This window comes from Homo sapiens, chromosome 5, assembly GCF_000001405.40.
Source record: "Homo sapiens chromosome 5, GRCh38.p14 Primary Assembly".
Taxonomy (NCBI): Eukaryota; Metazoa; Chordata; class Mammalia; order Primates; family Hominidae; genus Homo; species Homo sapiens.
Window position 1 is genome coordinate 72,237,341 of NC_000005.10, and position 19,844 is coordinate 72,257,184.

A 19,844-nucleotide genomic window follows, 5' to 3' on the forward strand; every position below is an offset into this window, starting at 1 on the left:
TGCAACTGGAAATAAAACATTCTGCACAGAAGGGGACTCAAAAACAAAATCAGTATTCCTTTTCAGTGCTAACTTTCAGGGTCCAGTGACATTATAGACGTAATACCTTTTCATAAAAAGACTGTTAAAATATCTTTATAGTTCAAACTAGTGTTTAGCTTCAGACTCACAATAATAACATTCTAAACCTCTGTTCATTTTGTATTTACTGCATACAGTGGAATGTAAGTAAGACTCAACTCTTGGGTGGTGTAACAGTCAGAAAGATCCTAATCCTAGAGGGCTCTCAGGCTTGATGGGAGGAGTCAGGGAACTCCAAAGACACAGGAGCAACATGGTCATGTTTTTCCCCTATACTTCACCAGAAGGAAACAGGCAAGAAATCTAAGGCTTAGCAACCGAGAATGAAATGACCACCACTGCAGAGTTCTTCCTTTTGCTTATACCTGTCCTTTTCTGAGTCACTACATTTGGAAAAGTAGCAGCTACAGGATTTTTTTTTTTAATTTATTAATGAACTTATACCCAGCTCCATTCTGTTAATAAGAATATTTGAGGCCAAATAATTTTTTAAAGTTATTTCTGGTGTTATTCTTTGCTGTACTACAATAGGTACAAACACCATATCACCTAAACTCAGGAAAACAGGCTGCAGATCCACGGAACAACTCACCTTATTTACAAGGGTATATAGGGCTTTGTCTTGTGCATCATATTTTAGACACTGCCTAATCCAGGTGTGGATAGTCCAGTTTCTCAGGTACCAGCAGTTGGGGCTGTGTCGAAACCTAAATAAGCACAAGAAGAGAGAAAACTGGTGTTAACTCTTATATGTTAAAACACATCTTCCATCGATAGGTCCTTCTCTTAGATACTTACAGAGTGCAATGTGACAGAAATTCATAAAAGTCAACAGTTGATAAAAACTTGAGAATGAAACTTATTAACCACAAAGTCTGAAATGGTAAAGAGAAGGCAAACTAATAAATAACAAAAAATTTTACAAAAATTGTATTCCTTATACCCCTTACTTCAACAGTTCATTTTAATAGATTTATGAAAAATGATTTGGGAAAAATACTCTACTAATCATGGCATTATGTAAACAGATATTTCATTAGAAGAGACGTGAAGCTTAAGCTGAAACTTTGGAAGTTTAAAACAAATGAAGAAAATGAAAAATAGGATAGCACAGCAACTCTGTAGAGGAGAATCAGCTTTGAGTAACAGTGATACTTCCTGTGGCTCTTAGGAGAGACTGGGACACTCTTCACTGAGTCAAAGGAAAACAGAGGAAAAGAAATAAAAGTTGAGTAAAATTTAACATTCATGTCCTCCAAGATCCACAATCCCACACTGCCTTCTTCACAGTTCCATTGTAGCTCATCAGTTTATCCCTTACTTCCTATAGCTCCCCACAGGGTCTTAAAAGTCTGAAGCAGCCCAGGATGAGTTATATACAGTAATAGTATACCTACAAAGGAACAGTGCTTGGAAAGGAATTCCAAATGCTGCTTTTTCCTTAGTTCACGCACATTGCTAACACCTGGGATGGAAGCTGCTACTCCCGGTTCCTGGGGTTCATGACAAAAGACTGACTGGAGATTGAGCTGCGAGATGGGGGTGGAAAGGGCTCTGTAGTCCCTCTTTTTATTTATCTACTTTGATTAGGATGGACCCTCATATGCTATACTATATCATGTTAGCTGAAATCCCTATGTTTTCCTGAATCATTCAGGAAGCAGGCCAATCGCTGGGCTCCACAAAAATCAAACTCTTTTTCTTAAAAAGAAAAAGGTGAGACAAAAACCTAGTGCTAAAGGATTCCATGCTATATTTGAGAGTCGAGGGTACAGATGAATACTAGTGGCTTTTAGAGGCTGATTATTCAGTCTGCCTCCTGCTATTTCTTGCCATCTGCTATTGGGATAGTTTCCTCTGAACAGGTTCTCTGCCAAAGTAATGGTTAAGAAAAGGAGAGGAAGTGAGAAATAGTATTTAATTTAGGATATCTATTAGTGCTCTGGTGAGAGATTTGGCAAAAATAAGATCCAAAGATGTTTTATGGATTTAGGGTCTTCTAGGCAGCCTGATTCTCTTCAATATTTTAGGTTTTGCTAGAAAATGTCTCTCTCACTCTATTTTTCTCTACAAATTAGCCCCTTTAAAATCAGAAATAGAGAAATATGTCAAATTAGGTTTAGAATAAGAGTGACGTGGCCAGAGAAAGGCATGGTATAGGGGACCTAGATACTCAATCTTATAAGATCTTCTGCACAGAAATGAAACAAAATATACCTTTAGTATTCCATGTTTTCCCTCATATTTGTTTTTATTTTTTTATTTTTATTTTTTGAGACAGGGTCTCACTGTCACCCAGGATGGAGTGCAGTGGTGCAATCCTAGCTCACTATAACCTCAAACTAACTCCTAGGCTCAAGCAATCCTTCCTCCTAAGCCTCTCGAGTAGCTGGGAGTATAGGTGCATGCCACTATGCTCAGCTTATTTTTTGTAGAAACAGGATCTCGCTGTGTTGCCCAGGCAACATTTTCAAATCAATAGTTTAGCTACTTGATTCTTGTTTCTCTGAACAATCTGAGATTTAACATGAAATGACCAATTAAAAATGAGTTTTATTTTTTAAAGAAAAAAGTCAAGTGAAGTATCAGGTGTACTGCTTCAACGATGGTGATGCTTCCTCATCAGCCTGTAAGTTCCTGTGTCAGCAGAGACAGAGACTGACTTGCTCAATACTGATTCCTGTACTGACACAATTCTTGGCCCATAGGTTTTTCAGCTAATTAAAAAAAGAGCTTTAATCAACACTGGTATTAAATGCTGTTATGTCCCGATCATTCTGTTAATGTCTATGGTATATATGAAGATATGTAAATTTCCTTTTCAGGGCATTTAGAGTCTCATTACAAAAACGATGCACACATAATTTAATAATAATACGAGGTGGAGCATGATAAGTGCTAAAGACAAAAGGGATTGCTAGAGGCTGAAGGGTTTTTGGTAGTAGCAGTTGTTGGGTTTAGTCAATTTTTCCTTTAAAAAGAAACAAAACGAAATATAATTATTTTTTGGTAATGACTTTGGGAAAAAAATATATCAAATGCCAATTACTACCCTCACTCAAGATTATTTTAAACCTAATACTCATTTTAAATCTAAGGTTCTGGCTCAGGATGTTTCCAATGGCCACTAAAGTTGTAACTTTTTTTTGATGATGAACTTTACAATAAGAATACCATGACCATATCCAACCAAACACCTTTCTCTTATTCATGATCAGCAGACCACTTTTAGGCTTTGAAAAAATAACAAAGACTGATAATGAGAGCCTAGTTTCAGACCTTCAAAGCTCAAATTAAAACATATTTAAAGCCATTTGCTAAGCTTCTAAGGCTAACTTCAACACAAGGAAGAGCAAGAAAGTCTTTTCTTCTCAAAAACCCTTCCTTCACAGACTTTCTCTCTTAGAAGCCTAAAGGGAAAGTTACTCAAGACTTCACACATCGAATACAATCATCTCTGCACAGCAGCCTTTTGAGATATTTGTCAAGACACTCAGAGAAGTCTTTAATAAGTCTACTCCCTCTCCTATCCTGGGACAAGGCTACTTGGTATGAGCTCTGCTCTCTAAGCCCTAACAATCTTAGACCCAATTATGTCTAGGGCATTTTCTTTTTTATTGTATATACATTTTGAGAGACAAAGTCTCATTCTGTCATCCAGGCTGGAGTGCAACTGCAAGATCACAGCTCACTGCAGCCTTGAACTCTTGGACTCAAGTGATCCTCCTGCCTTTGCCTCCTTCTTTATTTCTGTAGAGACAGGGTCTTGCTATGTTGTTCAGGCTGGTCTCAAACTCCTGGCCTCAAGTGATCCTCCCACCTCGGCTTCCTAAAGAGCTGGGATTATAGGCATGAGCCACTGTGCCCAGCCTTGGACATTTTCAATGAACTCTCACAAAAAATAAACTGAGGAAAAGCAGTGAAATACTTACACACATACTATAAAATATGCTGCCCAAAATGCAATTCCTGAATTTCCCAGCCAGGAAGCAAATGAACTCCTTTCTTGGCCCCCATCAGCATTAAAAAGATAAACTTACGTGAGTGGCTATCTGGAATATAAACAAGTCAAAACACTGGGCCAGCGGGGTTCAATTTTGGATGGCAAGTTTGAGAAGAATTCCTGTTGGTGACTTTTTAAGCAGTTCAGACAAATAAATGTGGGGACTTTTCAACTTCCAGTAGTAATATGTCAGGTGAGTGAGTCTCTGGAATGGGCACTTGCCTGGAATAATTCTGTGGATTGCTGGATGAGCATTCTCCCTTTCTGTCAGAAGAAAGGCAAAGAGAAAAGAATACAACTAACACATTGATTTTCCAATTTGCCTGCAAACAGACTGGCTTTTGTTCTCGCCTGCTCTGACCACCAGCCTGGCAGATTACAGCCAGCCACTGTAGGAGTCCCCTCTGTGCGCCTATGCCATCAGCTGTTTGCTCACCTCGACAGAAGCTTTATTATTGCCTAGGCCAACAGGCTGTCAAGATAGGCAAACATGTGAGTGTAGAAAAGAGAAACAAATACAACCCAAATATCCCCAACAAGGTTGTGCTCATGAAGGCTAAAGGTACTCTGAGATTTCAGCTTATAAAATGTGATTACACTTACAATTCTGAGGAAATGTGTATTTCTTGGAGGAGCATAAGAAAGAGTGACAAAGTGTACTCTCAAGTTCTAGCTCTAGTTCTAAAAGTTGGTATCCCATGGCTAAAGAGATCTCTGTCCCCAGTGTTGAGTAGGATTTTCAGGTGAAGACAGAGCTTGCCTAGGAAGCCAAACCACGGCCAATAAAATAGCAGGAACTGAGAAGCATCCTATTCTCAAAACTCAGGCCATACTCAGAACTCTTAAGGGCATCTGCCTGCACTGCTGCTCATTCAAGACTGATGTTACCAGGAAAGAAGGAGAGCAGAATCACAGGCTGCCAAAATGACATGGGAGTGAAAGTCTTGGATATCACAGAGATTTCTTAGAAGGGAAGAGAGGTTATATAAAAGAGATCAAGAGTGAAAAAAAAAAAAAAAACACCACAGACTGACTGTGATTATATAGGAGGTACTCTATTGTGTGTAAAAGTCGCATGGGATTTCTTGTTTGACCAATTTCGTCATTTAATTAAAAAAAAAAAGTGGCCTAGGCACAGTAGCTCATGCCTGTAATCCCAGCACTTTTGGTGGGTAAAGTAGGAGGATGTCTTGAGGCCAGGAGTTTGAGACCAGTCTAGGCAACACAGCGAGACCCCGTCTACACACACACACACACACACACACACACACACACACACACACTCACGGCACTCATAGCACACATACACACCAAAAATAGGGGGGAAAAAAAAGGAAAATATAGCCTTTCTTCCACGGGGTTGAAATAAAGGTTTTGTTATTGTTGAACGGCTAAAGTGGCAATGCTCATCAGCATTTTCGGTCTCACAAATAAAAATGCTCCAGGCTGGGCAGGCCCAATGCACAGATGCCAGAGCCTAGAGCCCAGCAGCTCACAGCTCCACCATTTAGCTGTAACACACTGGTTCTTCCACATGAATGAGCAAGCTTTCCACAATGTTTATCCGATTCCGAGAGCCACCAGCCCTAAACACACACATGCAGCTTTCCCTCCGCCCCAGTGAATTCTGTATCCTGTGGCAACAGGCTTTACAGATGGGAACCTCAGCCACGGAGCTGGGTAGACAGAGATGGGAGAGGGGGTCAGGGTAAAGGGAGGAAAGAAAGAATGCCAAGAAGAAAATATGGCTGGCTTCAAAGCCTGTAGTGTGGACTGAGGATCTTACCAATGAAGGAAAGTTAGCAACTATCAAAAGGAATGAGCGCTTCCTTGAACTAGAACCAAAGACCAAGAGTGTCATGTGACTATTTAAATCAGAATCTGATTCAATCACTGCTACTCACTTTCTCATTATTTTCTTTTTCATCCTGCTGGAAATTCTGCTTTCAGAATTGTTAATTTCAAAACTAACAATTATTAGTTGCCCTCAACTACCACAAATAAAATCAAATTTTGATGAGATAATTTTCTAATGACTATTATATTTTTGTCAAGTACTTAAAAAAAGAGGGCAGGGTTTAATACAGAAATCGATAATAAAAACATCAGTATTATAAGTTAAAATTTCCTGCTTGGGATCTCAGATTCTTACTCAAAGAATTTAAGGTAATTTTAACTTTCCACATACACACACTTAGCCTGCACAAAATAAAAGCACCAGGTGCTAGAGTCCCCTCCAAAACACCTCTCCCACCCTGCCAACAAAAGTCAACCAGATTGGGCTTGAATATTTCCAACGAATTCACTATCTACCTTCACAATACAGATAAAAATGTCTTTCTTTAAAAGTTCTAATTTTTAAAAAATTAAAGTCAAGTTTACAGAGATACAATGTACAAACAAAAAAATTCATACGTTCAGTTTACAGTTCTATGAATTTTGACAAATGCATCCAGTTGCATAATCATGACCACAATCAAGATAAGCCCCCTTTGTAGTCAACCTCTCCAGGGTTTGCTGGTCAATTTAAGCAAATTTTATATAGGTAACCTCCTTGGGTCCCTTTCCAGATCTAGAGTTATTAATTTTGTAAGAGGAAAAGCAAATAAGATAATAAAACCACCACAATATCATCTATTGGTTGGTTTATAATGTATATTCTGTCAATTTCCCAGAAGAATTTGAAAAAATTAAAACTCAGCTTGTGAGTAGTTTTTTTTTTGAGCCCTACATATAGTCATTAGACCTTCTGGAATCCCTGCCTGCTAATCTAAAAAGGGTGATGAGTAAGTAGATTTTTGGTAGAGAATAACAGGGGCATAGAATTTTGCAGATGTGGAGTGCTAAATAAATGCAGCATAACAACACATTTTTTGAAATGAAGATAGATAACAGAGGGACTTGTTAGATATCAAAGTCTGAATTTGTCAGACCAAGGGCTTAAAAAAGAGGCCCTTAGCATTTCACCTGGAAACACACTGGTATAAATATGACATACTAGAAACTACTCCAGGAGAGTTATTCTTATTATCCACATCCTCTCATGAAACAGAAAGCAATCAAAAGTAGGATGCATGTCACCACATTATTCTCTCTCCCTGCTCTCTGATCTGCCTGCTGTTTTGCCAGATCTAACTCTCAGTCTAGAAGACATATTTCTGCTTCATTTAAGTATTTACTGAGTAGCTACCTTTTGCTCAGGCATGGTGATCTATATTCTTTACCCACTGATCTACTAATTTCCTTTAATTCCAATTTTTTTTTGTTTTTTTAAGTAGAGACGGAAGTGTTGCTATGTTGACCAGGCTGATCTCAAACTCCTGGCCTCAAGTGATCTTCCTGCCTTGGCCTCTCATCATGCCTAGCCCTAACTCCTATCTTAAAGATGACATCTCTCCCTTTCTGATACAGAAAAAATACCTATAGACAGACTGTAAGCTCTGCTGCTCTCTCTCTCTCTCTCTCTCTTACTTTCATGGTACATAAGGGAGGCAGTCAGAATGAAGTCAGTTGTGTTCTTTGTCTAAAGCCTGGAACACTATTTTATCAGCCTCCAAAGAGCAATATGTGTAGATAACCAGGGAGGATTACTTGTGGGGAGAATGGGAGAAGAAACAAGTATTTACAGTCATCACTGAGGTGCCCATCTGGAGATGGTCCTAAAAGCAGAAAATGGCTTTGTGGCCACCACCTGACCTATCAGTGAAACTGCACCCAGAAGCAGCTGGTAAGACTTCTCCAGCCTCTCTAAAGCTATACACACACTGGCTCACAGGTCAGCTTCATGACTGAGAGGCAGTTACTGAAGGCCAAGGTTAGGCTACAGAGGGCCTTTACCTAGGAACAGCAGGATGTTGAGAAAAACTGGATCCCGGAACCAGTCCTGTTTATAAAAGCATATAAAGTTATGGAAACTGGCTTGGTTTGGACAGAGATAAGCGAAATATTTTGGTTTTTGAGTAGGAAATTTATGAGCAATAAATGAGCCAGTTTTAAATACATGCAAACATTTCCTGATGTCTCCTAAAGCTTTGGCTAGGAACTGCAGATAAAATTTCTGCAAAATCACAAATAATACAATGATTAAGATAGGAAAATCACATATATTAATTAAACACTGGTTTTGAATAATTCTGGGAAAAAGAAAGGTGAGAAAGAAAAAAAAGGAGGAAAACAAAGGAATAGAATAGAAATAAAAACCAGAATTTCTGGAGTATGCTAGGCTTAGTGAAGTTGTCAGGATTAAGTCTGCCACAAAAGAAATGAGCAGGCAAAGAGCCTGGCCCAGGAGATGAAGCACACCAGGGTAAAAGCAGAAAAGAATTAAGCCAGTGTTGAGCAGATTTATATGTGTTTGTATGTGAGATTACGGATTTCTTTAGGGGTATTTCTGAGGGAAGAGAAGCTCAGTACTAATCAGGATTTCTTAAGAATTAGATTTTTATTAAAGAAGAAAAGCATCTCAGTATTTTAAACATTCTGATTCTCTAACACATGAAAAAGTTGAATCCCTAGGCATTCTTTGTTTGTAGCAAAAGGAAGGTTGGACATACTTCCAGTGATACAATCCAATTCATAGCTAGTTTCTATTTCTGTAACTCTACTGACTCCTCTATTAAGCTTTTAAGCTCTTAAAAGGCAGGGGACAAGTTATCTATCATTTTGCGTCTACAAACAAGTGAACAAGGACTCAAGTAGGTGCCTGATAATTTGGCAACAGTGACTCGGCCTGCTAAGACTGCATAAATACCCATCATGCATGCTGAAATTCATGAGGATTATTTATATTTGAAACAGTAATTCACTTCTGGTTGTGAAGTATCCTGGCTAAAATAAAGTTGAAGCCAAGAAGAAATGCTGCCTTTTTTGTACAAGGCAGGAGGAGATGAAAGATGGCAGAGGAAGTGGAGTAGTATGTGGTCATTGTGGAAAGCCACCTAGTCCTCACTTATTCCCCCTACTGTTCCTTCTCACAATACATCAAGGATGATACATGGATTCTTTAATGCAAGTTGAGGGAACAGACAAGCTGCTAGGAGAGTGAAGCCGTTAAGTTGAGGACAGAAGCCAGAGTACATGGGTTCAAAGAATTTCCCTAACAGGAATTCAATAAAAAAACAGACTCCTTTCAACCCTGGAAGAGGCTTTGAAAGCAACCTAGGCCAAGTAAACTGGGGATAAGGGAGAGACAAAAAGTTAATACTGAATTAGAGAATCTTTAATTTAGTGCTGGTAGGGACTTTCAATATCTATTGTACACTAGACTATTTATTGAGAATTTACTAGCCCTGTTCTAGGTGACGTAAAATTATGTAATCTAATTCCTTTACTTTATAGAGGAGGAATCTTGATGTATATAGTGAGATAAAATGATTTCCCCAAGATAGTTAGCAATAGGACCTAAATTAGACCCCTCACTTTCATTATTCCACCATTGCCTCTCAACTTATTTGTAGGACATCTTTAAAAAACATTTTTGTGGTTTCACAAAGGTCTCTAACAGCGAAAAATAAACATCTCTTCTAAATTTAGGAGCAGAATCAACAGAAAAATAAACTCAGTGTAAAACAGTTCTGGAATTGCCCTGAACTAGCTGTTTAACTTTGGAAAGTCACTTGATCCTTCAGGGTTTCAGTTCCTGCAACTGTAAAATGAAGAGGTACGGTTATCTGGATCACAAACTCAACTGTCTACAGGGGCCAGTCAGTTAATATAAATGCATGAATCATGTAAGACAATAGGTACAAAGCTGCTTGTATTACAATCAAGCAAAGTGATTTCATTATACTGTTTATAAAAACACAGCTTACGGGCCAAACAAAATACACTTGAACTCTGGACTAGACCAGACCCCCGGAACTCCTTCCAGCACTTAAGTTTAATGACTGTAAAAGACAATAAGCCTATATCTACTCATTAAAACATCAGTCATATACAAGTTTCTATTAAACCAGAAAAATGGCAGTGATACAAACAAGTGAATAAAGACTCAAAGATAAACGAGCAACCATTCAGTCCACAGCTGATTTTACTTTATTCCACTAGCCTCCATTCCCCCACCATATGGTACCCACTTTGGGCAGGCAACAGAGATTATTATTATGGGAATGGTGGGCCCTGCAAATTGGCATCTAAAATTTCAAGGTGAAATGATAAAATCAGCTAAAGTTAAATTTAAGGTCCCTAAAGTACATTATAACTGAAGATCAAGTTTTATAGAAAATAAAATTTTCAGCAATTGATCACTCCATTAGTAAAGCATTTTATTTTCTACTCAAATATTTCAGTGCAATTCATCTTATATCTAAGAAAGTCATCCAAAGTAATTTTCCTACATAATATAAATTATTGTTTTATATACTGTTACTTTATCAAACCTCTGTTATCTGGCAATTCCTATAGCAGAAATGGTTGAACTCTAAAAAAAGGGGAGTAGGATAGGGTGGGCATAGAGATATTAAGAAATTACTTGACAGTTTTTGGAACATAATGACTATTTGTAGTTTAAAAAGGAAAGATATTTAAAAATTGAGACTTATTATTTGTGAGTCCAATTGGTTTTTAGAAAGGTTTACTTTACCACTCACCAAACAAACAAAAACCCTTAGTTGTTTACATGTAAAGACAGAAAAATTAAGGTGACCTTTCTTTCTTCTGCTGCCAAATAGTAAAACTCAGTATGACTATAATACATTTAATAGGCAGCTCCTCTATTTAGCTCAAGCTAGTCTCTCATACCAAAAACCAAATTTTTAAAAACTGAATATTTGAAATTATACAAACAAAATATGCTAAGAAAATTCTTAACAATGACCAAATGCAAACTTCATGTCATAGGAAGGTTAAGTACCAGAGGCAATTCCTTTTAATAGGATGACAATCATAAGAAGGAACAGTTACAATTCTGAATATGAAAGAGCTGTTTCTTTAGTAATAAACCAAATACAAAGTTCCGGGTTCATCTGTTCTGGCTGGCAAATCTTGCATAAAAAAGCCATACTTTAGCTAAACAAAAGCTTTTAGGCTGGCCCAGAAAGAGGGAATGAACAATTTGAAAAACATCTTTTACTGCCTGAGAAAATTTAAAAAGTGTCTGAAAGTGCCAGGAGACCTGCCTCAATGTGACTCAGGCAGCTTTCCAAAGTCCCTCAGCTTTCCTAAGTATGAGTCATAGGGGAAGGAGAGAGGGCTCCTTGGCAAAGATACAGGTTTTCCTCTCTGGTTCCACCCCCACCATTTTCATTTAAAAAAAAAAAAAAAAAAAAAAAAAGCTTTGATGTATAATAGTTAAATAGATTCCAGACAGGCTTAACTGAAGAAGTTTGAACACCAGGGAGGCAAAATATCATTGCAGAAGTTGCTATTGTTTGCTATTGTGATCCACAGACACAGGGAGCATCTTCTGCATCCTAAAAAGGGCTCGGCCCATTGATCATGTGTCAGATCATGGCTGCACTTTGTGGGAGAGAAGAGGATAACAAGCTATGAAAATACCTCTGCCTCCCTAGTTTCTTAAACACCACAAGCTCATATACTGAACAATTACACTGAGTTCGAAGGGGTGGGAGCTTGTCCTTTATGAGTGCACATTAAGCAGAATTTCAAGTGTGGTAGCAAGTAGACTGTCCACATATACATGGCTGCTACAATGAATGCAGCCTTTAGTGAACAGATACACTTTTTCCTTCAATAATCTTAGGCAAAAAAGTAAGAAAGCTGGGATTTTTTAAGCATGAATAAGGCAAAACTGAATGTTAAACTGCAGAGAGAATAGTTCTACTTCTATACCTATATGAAATTACTTATTACAACAGAATGGAGCATTTGATGAGGTCAAAGCTCCTCTCTTCTGCATTTGATCATTTATCAACCTACTATGAATCAGGATATTATGCTGGGCACTAAGAGACAAAGAAGAATAAACATCTCCTTGCCTTCAATAAGGTTAGATTGGGATGATCAAAAACAAGTATTTTCAGCCCCGCGTGGTGGCTCACGCCTGTAATCCTGGCACTGTGGGAGGCCGAGGCGGGCAGGTCACTTGAGGTCAGGAGTTCAAGACCAGCCTGGCCAAAATGGTGAAACCCCGTCTCTACTAAAAAATACAAAAATTAGCCTGGCGCAGCAGCACGTGCCTGTAATCCCAGCTACTTGGGAGGCTGAGGCAGGAGAATCACTTGAACCCGGGAGGCAGAGGTTGCAGTGAGCCAAGATGGCGCCACTGCACTCCAGCCTGGGCGACAGAGCAAGACTCCATCTCAAAAAAACAAAAACAGGCTGGGCGCAGTGGTTCACGCCTGTAATCCCAGCACTTTGGGAGGCCGAGGCGGGTGGATCACGAGGTCAGGAGACAGAGACCATCCTGGCTAACACGGTGAAACCCCGTCTCTACTAAAACAATACAAAGAAATTAGCCGAGTGTGGTGGCAGCTGCCTGTAGTCCCAGCTACTTGGGAGGCTGAGGCAGGAGAATGGAGTGAACCTGGGAGGCGGAGCTTGCAGTAAGCTGAGATCACGCCACTGCACTCCAGCCTGGGCGACAGAACGAGACTCCATCTCAAAAACAAAAAACAAAAAAACAAAAATAACAAAAAAACTCCAAGTATTTTTTGAGCATTGATAACAAGTTTAGAAGGTTAATTTATAAGCATCATAGGTAATTTCCCATGTATATAACACTGATTATTTCATAACACCCTGATAATAAATTTTGAAAAACTGGCTCTCAATAGGAAAATAAATCCAACTTTTCTCTCTTCTTCCCAATAGTCTGTCTTTTTTGTTTCCTTGGGTATATTTAAGAAATAAAAATGTTAGAGATAATGTTGTACCCTGCTTCTCTCACTTTCTAGAACAAGAAAGTTGGTGTCCATCATTCTCATGTTATACTTTTACTACTTAGGGATATGTTCTGTGTTGAGTTTTTCAAGGTGCATGACTTTTTGACTCTGCATTCAAGGGCCTGTCTGATAGAGAACTGAACCAAACCACAGTAATGCTGCTTCTCCAGGGGCAGAAGAGTAGGGAAAGAAGTGACAAAATTACTGTTATCACAGACATGAGAGAGGACTCGATGCCACTTTCACTGTGAAAACTAATTGCACTGCCACCAGGTAAATCTCTGACAAAGTGCTGCTCTGTGTTTGATTAGAACCCAGCCCCGACTCACTAACTGAGTCATTTAACCTAAGAATCAGTTTTATCATTTTTAAAATAGAGATGATAATACCTTAATCACTGGGTTATTATGAAAATCACATAGGAGCTATTTAGGCATTTTGCCGGCTTATAATTCTTTTTGGAACCAAACACAGTAAAAATATGCACATATACAAGCAATACTAAAATATATATTTTTAAAGACAAGGTCTCACTCTGTCACCCAGGCTGGAGTGCAGTGGCGAGATCACAGGCATAACTGTCTTTGGTAGTAGAGAGGTAGTTAAGATATCAGCATCAGAGAGAACTTCTCCTATGTTAGAACCTCAGGAAACTGATTCTAAAATGGATTCAGGATTCTAACCGGTAAAAGTTATATCCAGTTTATCTGGTAAAACTCTAGATTGATATGAAGATTAAAGAGATAAAACATGTAAAATTAAAATGCCTGGCACATGGTGCTTTCAGACAACTTGGACAGAGCAGTCAGCAGCAGCCTCATTCTAAGGGCCACTGAGTTAAGTATGAACTCTTATGATTATTACCATCCACACGGCAGGTGACTTGCAGAGCGCTGGGTACCTGTGTGCAGCAAAGACCTGACTGCCATTAGCCAGAGGGGATGGAATACAGTAGGAAGAACTGGGTCAGTAAGAGGGTAAAGAATCCTTTGCCCTCTCATTCCTCTCAAGACAGTCTCAAATGAGGAGCTGGAAGGTGAAGGAAAGGGGACAACAGAGAGGCTTTTTACAATCACAGAGGCCCAAAGCCAACCAGCAAAGTTTTGCCAGTCAGGCTGATGACTGGTGGCAGGGTTTCTGATCTTATTTATGACAGAAAAAGGTCTAGGAAGGAGAAGCAAGGGGATGACCTAAGGAGGAGTCAATTTACCTATCATGTTTTGCTCTTGGACTGCTTTCCACATGCTTGGCAAGGCACTGTTATAATACAATGGGGATTATACTGGTTTCCACAAGATTAGCAAAGCACTCTTATAATACAATGGGGTTTATACCTTGAGCTTTGTGTCAGCTCAGTGCCCACTAGCCTCTGGTTGAGGTAGACAGCTAAGGAGTGTGGATGCCTATGGAGGATAAACCGAACTACTGAAAAGAGAAGCTGCTAAGTGCTGCTCATGGCTTGGATCTGTGGTTGGGGCAAGAGCTCAGAAGAAGAAAGTAGTTATTTGTGTAGAACATGCCACCCATCCAAGGCTGGGAAATAAAGGAAAACACCAACTAAAGCAAAGCATTTGCTGCTGAGCAAGCCACTGACCCAGCTTTGTTTCTAAGAACCCCCTTTTCCATCACGTGCCCACCACTGGCAACCTGAAAGGAGTTTAAGGCTGAAAGCACCTGTTCCTGCTCCCAACCTAAATGGAACCATCAGCTCTTTCAGACAACTTGGAAAGAGCAGCTGACAGCAGTCACATGAAAACAAAGGCCACTAAGCTAAGAGAATATCTATGAACAACAAATATACAATAGTTTTTCTCATGTTGAAAAAAAATTATGGGTACAAATAACCAATAATAACTCTGTTTTAGGATTCTGATTTAAGACAGGCTCAAAAAAGGAAAGACAAGGGTGAGCTGTTGCTATAGTGACCACAGCTTTTGATTATCTCAAGGGTTTTTCACATTCCCATGCAACCATAGGAAAGTCTAATTTATCAGCAATACTTGTACCATAAGTATATTTCTCTGAATGAATACTTATAAAAAATGTAGCATACTAAAGAACTTGCTTTTTTTTTCTGAGCATTTAGAACTTTTAAAGGAAAATCATACTGAAGGAAGGCTTCTTTTGCCCTGATCAGTTTGTGAAAAATCTTTAACTGTGACTGAAAATGAGGATGATGATGATAATTAACTAAAATGTGCTGAGTACTTACCATGTGCCAAGCATTATCCTAAGTACTTTATATACATTTTCCCCTTTTTACAAAGTAGGAAAGTGAAATTGAAGGGGATTAAAATCCTAGCCTAAGAGCCCACAGTGAACCTAACACAGGTGGTTTTCCCTATAGCATTTGAAACACACTTTTGGTTGTTGTTGAGCACCAGAAGTAGGTGGCTTGCATTCAGATGGCCTGCTTTATAGAAAATGTGTCACTCTGAATAATGGAATTGCATTTGGCATAGCAGGAAATTCATATTATGAGAGGAATGTAGAAATGAAAACAACATGTTCTCATCTTTCACCTCATGTCTTTGCCAGGGTACCCTGGTGGTGCTATTTTGTTGGGGGACCGCCAAAATCCCCATAGGTCTTTTCTCCTTGGACAGTCAGAGTACCTAGAGAGGGCTCATCCAATTTCCTCACTGAGAGGTAAAATAAGCCTTGTATACCCAAGTCCAGAGTCCTTCTGGCTCACTCTCTCCAGAAAGAAAACAACCACTCCTCTGCTAGAGTTGGGTATTTCACTAACTTGTATGAAGACTTCCCGTCAATCCTCCTGTCTCAGCTCCACTCACACTTCTACTTTGGGAATCATGCTGCTTCTCATTTACGAGGCTTTCTGGGGTCCTATGGTTCGACTGCCTTGCTTCTGGACTACCTCTCCTGCCGGCTTAGGTTGTAGCTTTCTTTTTCTGCTAACTCCATTACTTTTGTTTTCTAACTTCCAAGCTTTGCTCGTTGTCTCCTCTCCCAGTCTCTTATTTTGTCAATTTTTGCCTCTTCTACCCTTTACTGTCATATCTATGGAGGTTTCTGTAGGAAATAGAGATAAGCACATATGATCAATCTATCACGTTTAATCACAACACTTCCACAGGCAGTTTGATCTGTAAACTAGTCAATGGATTATATAATCATCTAAAAGTAATGATAAAGAAAATAAAACATTCAAATATATTTCAGCAGTAATAGCCCTCTGCTTAAAAGGAAAAATAAAATTTCTTGCATAAGACACTTAACTCATCTGGATTTCAAATTAAAGAAATTCTAAGACAAAAGGCGAGAAGAGATCTTTAACAACCCTTTCACTTCTAACATCCTTCCACCACAAAGGCCAAAAATAAATCACTGCACTATATTTTGAATTCTCTGTTTAATCTAAAATATTTTACTGAAAATATTTGTATAGGGACAGAAATTAAATAAAGGATAAGCCAAAATTATTTTAAACCACAAAATGCATATATTAAGGTCCCTGTATATGGATGGTGTGCTCAGTGTTAACAAGAAATATTGTTAAGATGTAGTCTTTAAACTGTAATACATCTTTTTTTCCTGGAAAAGTCACTACTCAGGATTACACTGAGTAGTGAAAGATACTTAAATCAAGCTTGGGAAATTCTCTTGTAAGAAGATAGAAAATTATGTAATGTTGCAGCAATTTCCTTCTTCCCTCTCTCCCTCTTTCTTTCTTTTTAGAGGTTAAGTCTCACTATGCTATCTAGGCTGGTCTTGAACTCCTGGGCTCAAGCAGTCCTCCTGCCTCAGCCTCCCAAGTAGCGAGGACTACAGGCAGGTGACCCTGCATCTGGCTTAATTTTTCCTGAGATTGAAACTCCAATAATACTCATAAAATCTTCTTTGCTCTGATGATTTTTCAAAAAGCTAAGTTTTATCTATATTTGAAGGGCCAAGAAGCTAGAGGAATGGCTCCCACAAGATTATAAAACCAGCACGAAGGAATACCTAACCTAAGTTGAAGCCTAGCAGAGAACCAAGGCACTTAATGAGGCAACTTCTCATAGCCGGTTCACACAAAACCTAGGAAACTAGGGAGCATACATCATGCCATAGCCTAGCTTCCTGGTGTGTGGTGGTGTGCACACACACACATATATTAATATGTATAGAAGGGATGGAAGAAAAAAGAGACCAAGGGAGAAAAAAGACGGGAAAGAAAAACACAATAGCTACCCCCTTATTATCCTTGGGAATTCACACTAAACACTAAACTAAATACTATTTCCTCCTCCTGGAATTATATATGTGGAGCCTTTGCTTTACATGGAGGGGAAAGTCATAGCCTAGAAAGAGAAAAATGGTAGAATTTAGTGAATTCAGTACCACATTACAACAAGAACAAGGATCTCTTCTTCATTCCCATAGCAATATAGCACATAATAGCACCTACTTCCTCTAGCAAATATGAGTGAACTTTTCCTTCCTTGCAAATGCCACATGGGATGTAACATTACACAAGCCATGTCATTAGGTACATTTTATTTTGTACCAATTCAAAGGATTAAAAAAAACTAAAAAGTTGAGTTAAAAATTTGATTTGAGAGAATTCAGGTCATTCAAGAATCGGTTCTGTTGTGTGAAATGTTTAATGGTCTTTTGCTTTCTGGTTACCACTGTTCTTTTCTTCAGAGAAGTGTCTGCTGCCAAGAAATCTGAATGTCATATTTAAGTAAAATGCAGAATTTAGTAGCTCTATATAGCAGAGCTTACCCTACCACATCTAAAATGTAACACATTTCTTTTCTTTTTTTTTTTTTTTTTTTTTTTTTTTGAGACAGAGTCTTACTCTGTTGCCCAGGCTGTAGTGCAGTGGCATGGTCTCAGCTCACTGCAACCTCCACCTCCCAGGTGGAGGTGGAGAATCAAGAGATTCTCCTGCCTCAGTCTCCTGAGTAACTGGGATTACGGGCATGTGCCACCATGTCCTGCTAATGTTTACATTTTTAGTACAGATAGGGTTTCTCCATGATGGCCAGGTTGGTCTCGAACTCCTGACCTCAGGTAATCCACCCGCCTTGGACTCCCTAAGTGCTAGGATTACAGGCCTGAGCCACTGCACCTGGCCTGTAATACATTTCTTGATATACATTCAATATAAACAAATACATCTGAGATAAGAATAGCAGAAGTGGATATAGGGCTAAAAGCCTATTAAGTCAGTACCACCCTTTTCCTGAGTAAACACTCATCAGGAAATACTACTTTACCATTGTTCAATGCCCATGCCTCACACAATTCTTTCCTCTTTAGTCCAAGCTGACAACATATAGATGACATATTCAATAATAAAATAAGCACTTCATCATTTTTTGAACTCTTACATTATTTTAGTAACTATGCGAATTGCTTTTTAAAGATTATTTCATTTACTTATCGAAACAACCCTATATAAGGTAAGTATATTATCCACACTTTACAGATGAGGAAACTGAACATCAAAAGGTTAAGTAACTTTCTCAAGATCCCACAGTTAATACTGAACAAGGCCAAAATTCAAACCCAGACAGTCTGACTCCAGAGCTCTTGACTACTAAGCTGTCCTGCCTGACGCTAAAATAGGTGATCTAGGGAGCAAAGTCTCTATCAACTTTGAACCAACAACTGGGGCTTCTTCACGACCCAAGCAAGGAATCAATAAACCAGGGAGTGCTATCTCAATTAAGATTAACCTCTGGAAGAAGGAGTGTTTGTCTAGAAAACTCTGTTATTTCAAATGTTAAAGATAAAATCATTTGGTTTCAAGCATACTGAATGAAAGCCATTGTCTTGTTTCTCTCCTGATCCTGGAATGAAGTAAGTAGATTTGGCAAGCCACCTCAGCCCTAGAACTTCCACTACTATTTTGATAATCAAATGTCACCATTTGCTATTATATCCCTTCAATGACTATAATATCTAAGGTTACCACAAATGTGTATATCCGATATATTCCACGTATTATGAAGTTCTGTTTTATTCACCTACAGGCTTATGCAGAAATTGCTATCAAATGGGATAGCATGCACTTTACATTTAAGAAGCACAACTAAGACATTTCAAAATTTTAAATACTTATATGTATTAAAAAAAGAATGCGTAAAATAAAATTTAATGGAGTAGGTTGGAGAAAAACCTTTGCTGACTCAGTGGCAAGACATCCTATGATTGAATATATAGAGCCGAAAAGGCACTCTCTTCAAATTATCCATTCAACCCTTTCACTTTCATTTATAAACAAGTTTTTTGGGCCAAGAACACTTTGACAATTTCATTATGCAAATTATATTAACTGAGTCTTAATGTATTGCCCTCTTCCTTTTCACCCAGCTATCCAAAGTCACTTTAAAACTGCAGTGGGTGGAACTGCAGAAATAGATGGGTGAGGCAGACAGGAAGCAGTTTAGAAAGAAGACTCACTGAGGTCAGGGAATTATTCTATGTGATCTGATTTTACATATTTGCTTAAGTGATCCTCAAAACAAAACAATAGGTCTGTTATTTTCTCATTTTCTCAGAGCCTCTATGCTGACTCATGTTATGCTATCAGATCTCCAGAGTAAGAGGAAAACATTAGCAGGCTCTTTATAGCCTTATATATTGATCCACTGATCATCAGAAGATATATCACTATTCTTGTAAGATGCCGTGGTACGATCCTGTACAGAACTAGACGTGCCATTCTTAGTAAGCACAGGATTTGAGGTAGTCCCTAAGATGATTTCTTGAAAAAATGTAAATGGGAGAGTAAGTATAGGAGATGTACAATCATGTCACATATATAGCACTGACAGGAAGGAGAATCAAACCTAAGGTATCCCAGGTACCTGAACCCTCAACTTTGATTCTCCACCCTCCACCCAATTTTATTTATAATTGTAATGATTTTTAGTAGAATTTTCATATAACTGTACACATGCCAG

At 38.6% G+C, this 19,844-nt stretch overlaps 1 protein-coding gene across 3 annotated transcripts in view, besides 1 other annotated feature; it reads right to left on the reverse strand.

Moving 5' to 3' along the window:
• Positions 1-19,844, reverse strand: part of MRPS27 (mitochondrial ribosomal protein S27) — a 100,838-nt gene that overhangs the window by 17,938 nt on the left and 63,056 nt on the right. For 2 of the 3 annotated variants that reach the window (NM_001286751.2, NM_015084.3), the window contains exon 5: positions 674-788. In NM_001286751.2, coding sequence (NP_001273680.1) covers positions 674-788 — 115 coding nt within the window. Of the gene's footprint in view, positions 1-673; positions 789-4,306; positions 4,349-19,844 lie in introns of all 3 variants that reach the window. The other variant, NM_001286748.2, reaches the window with a different exon arrangement.
• Positions 7,662-7,956: a silencer, noted in NCBI's record as "tiled region #3458; HepG2 Repressive DNase matched - State 12:CtcfO, and K562 Repressive DNase unmatched - State 5:Enh". NCBI's record gives its function as "represses a minimal TATA promoter and a strong SV40 promoter by Sharpr-MPRA in HepG2 and K562 cells {active_cell/tissue: HepG2 | K562}" and the evidence as "EXISTENCE:reporter gene assay evidence [ECO:0000049][PMID:27701403]".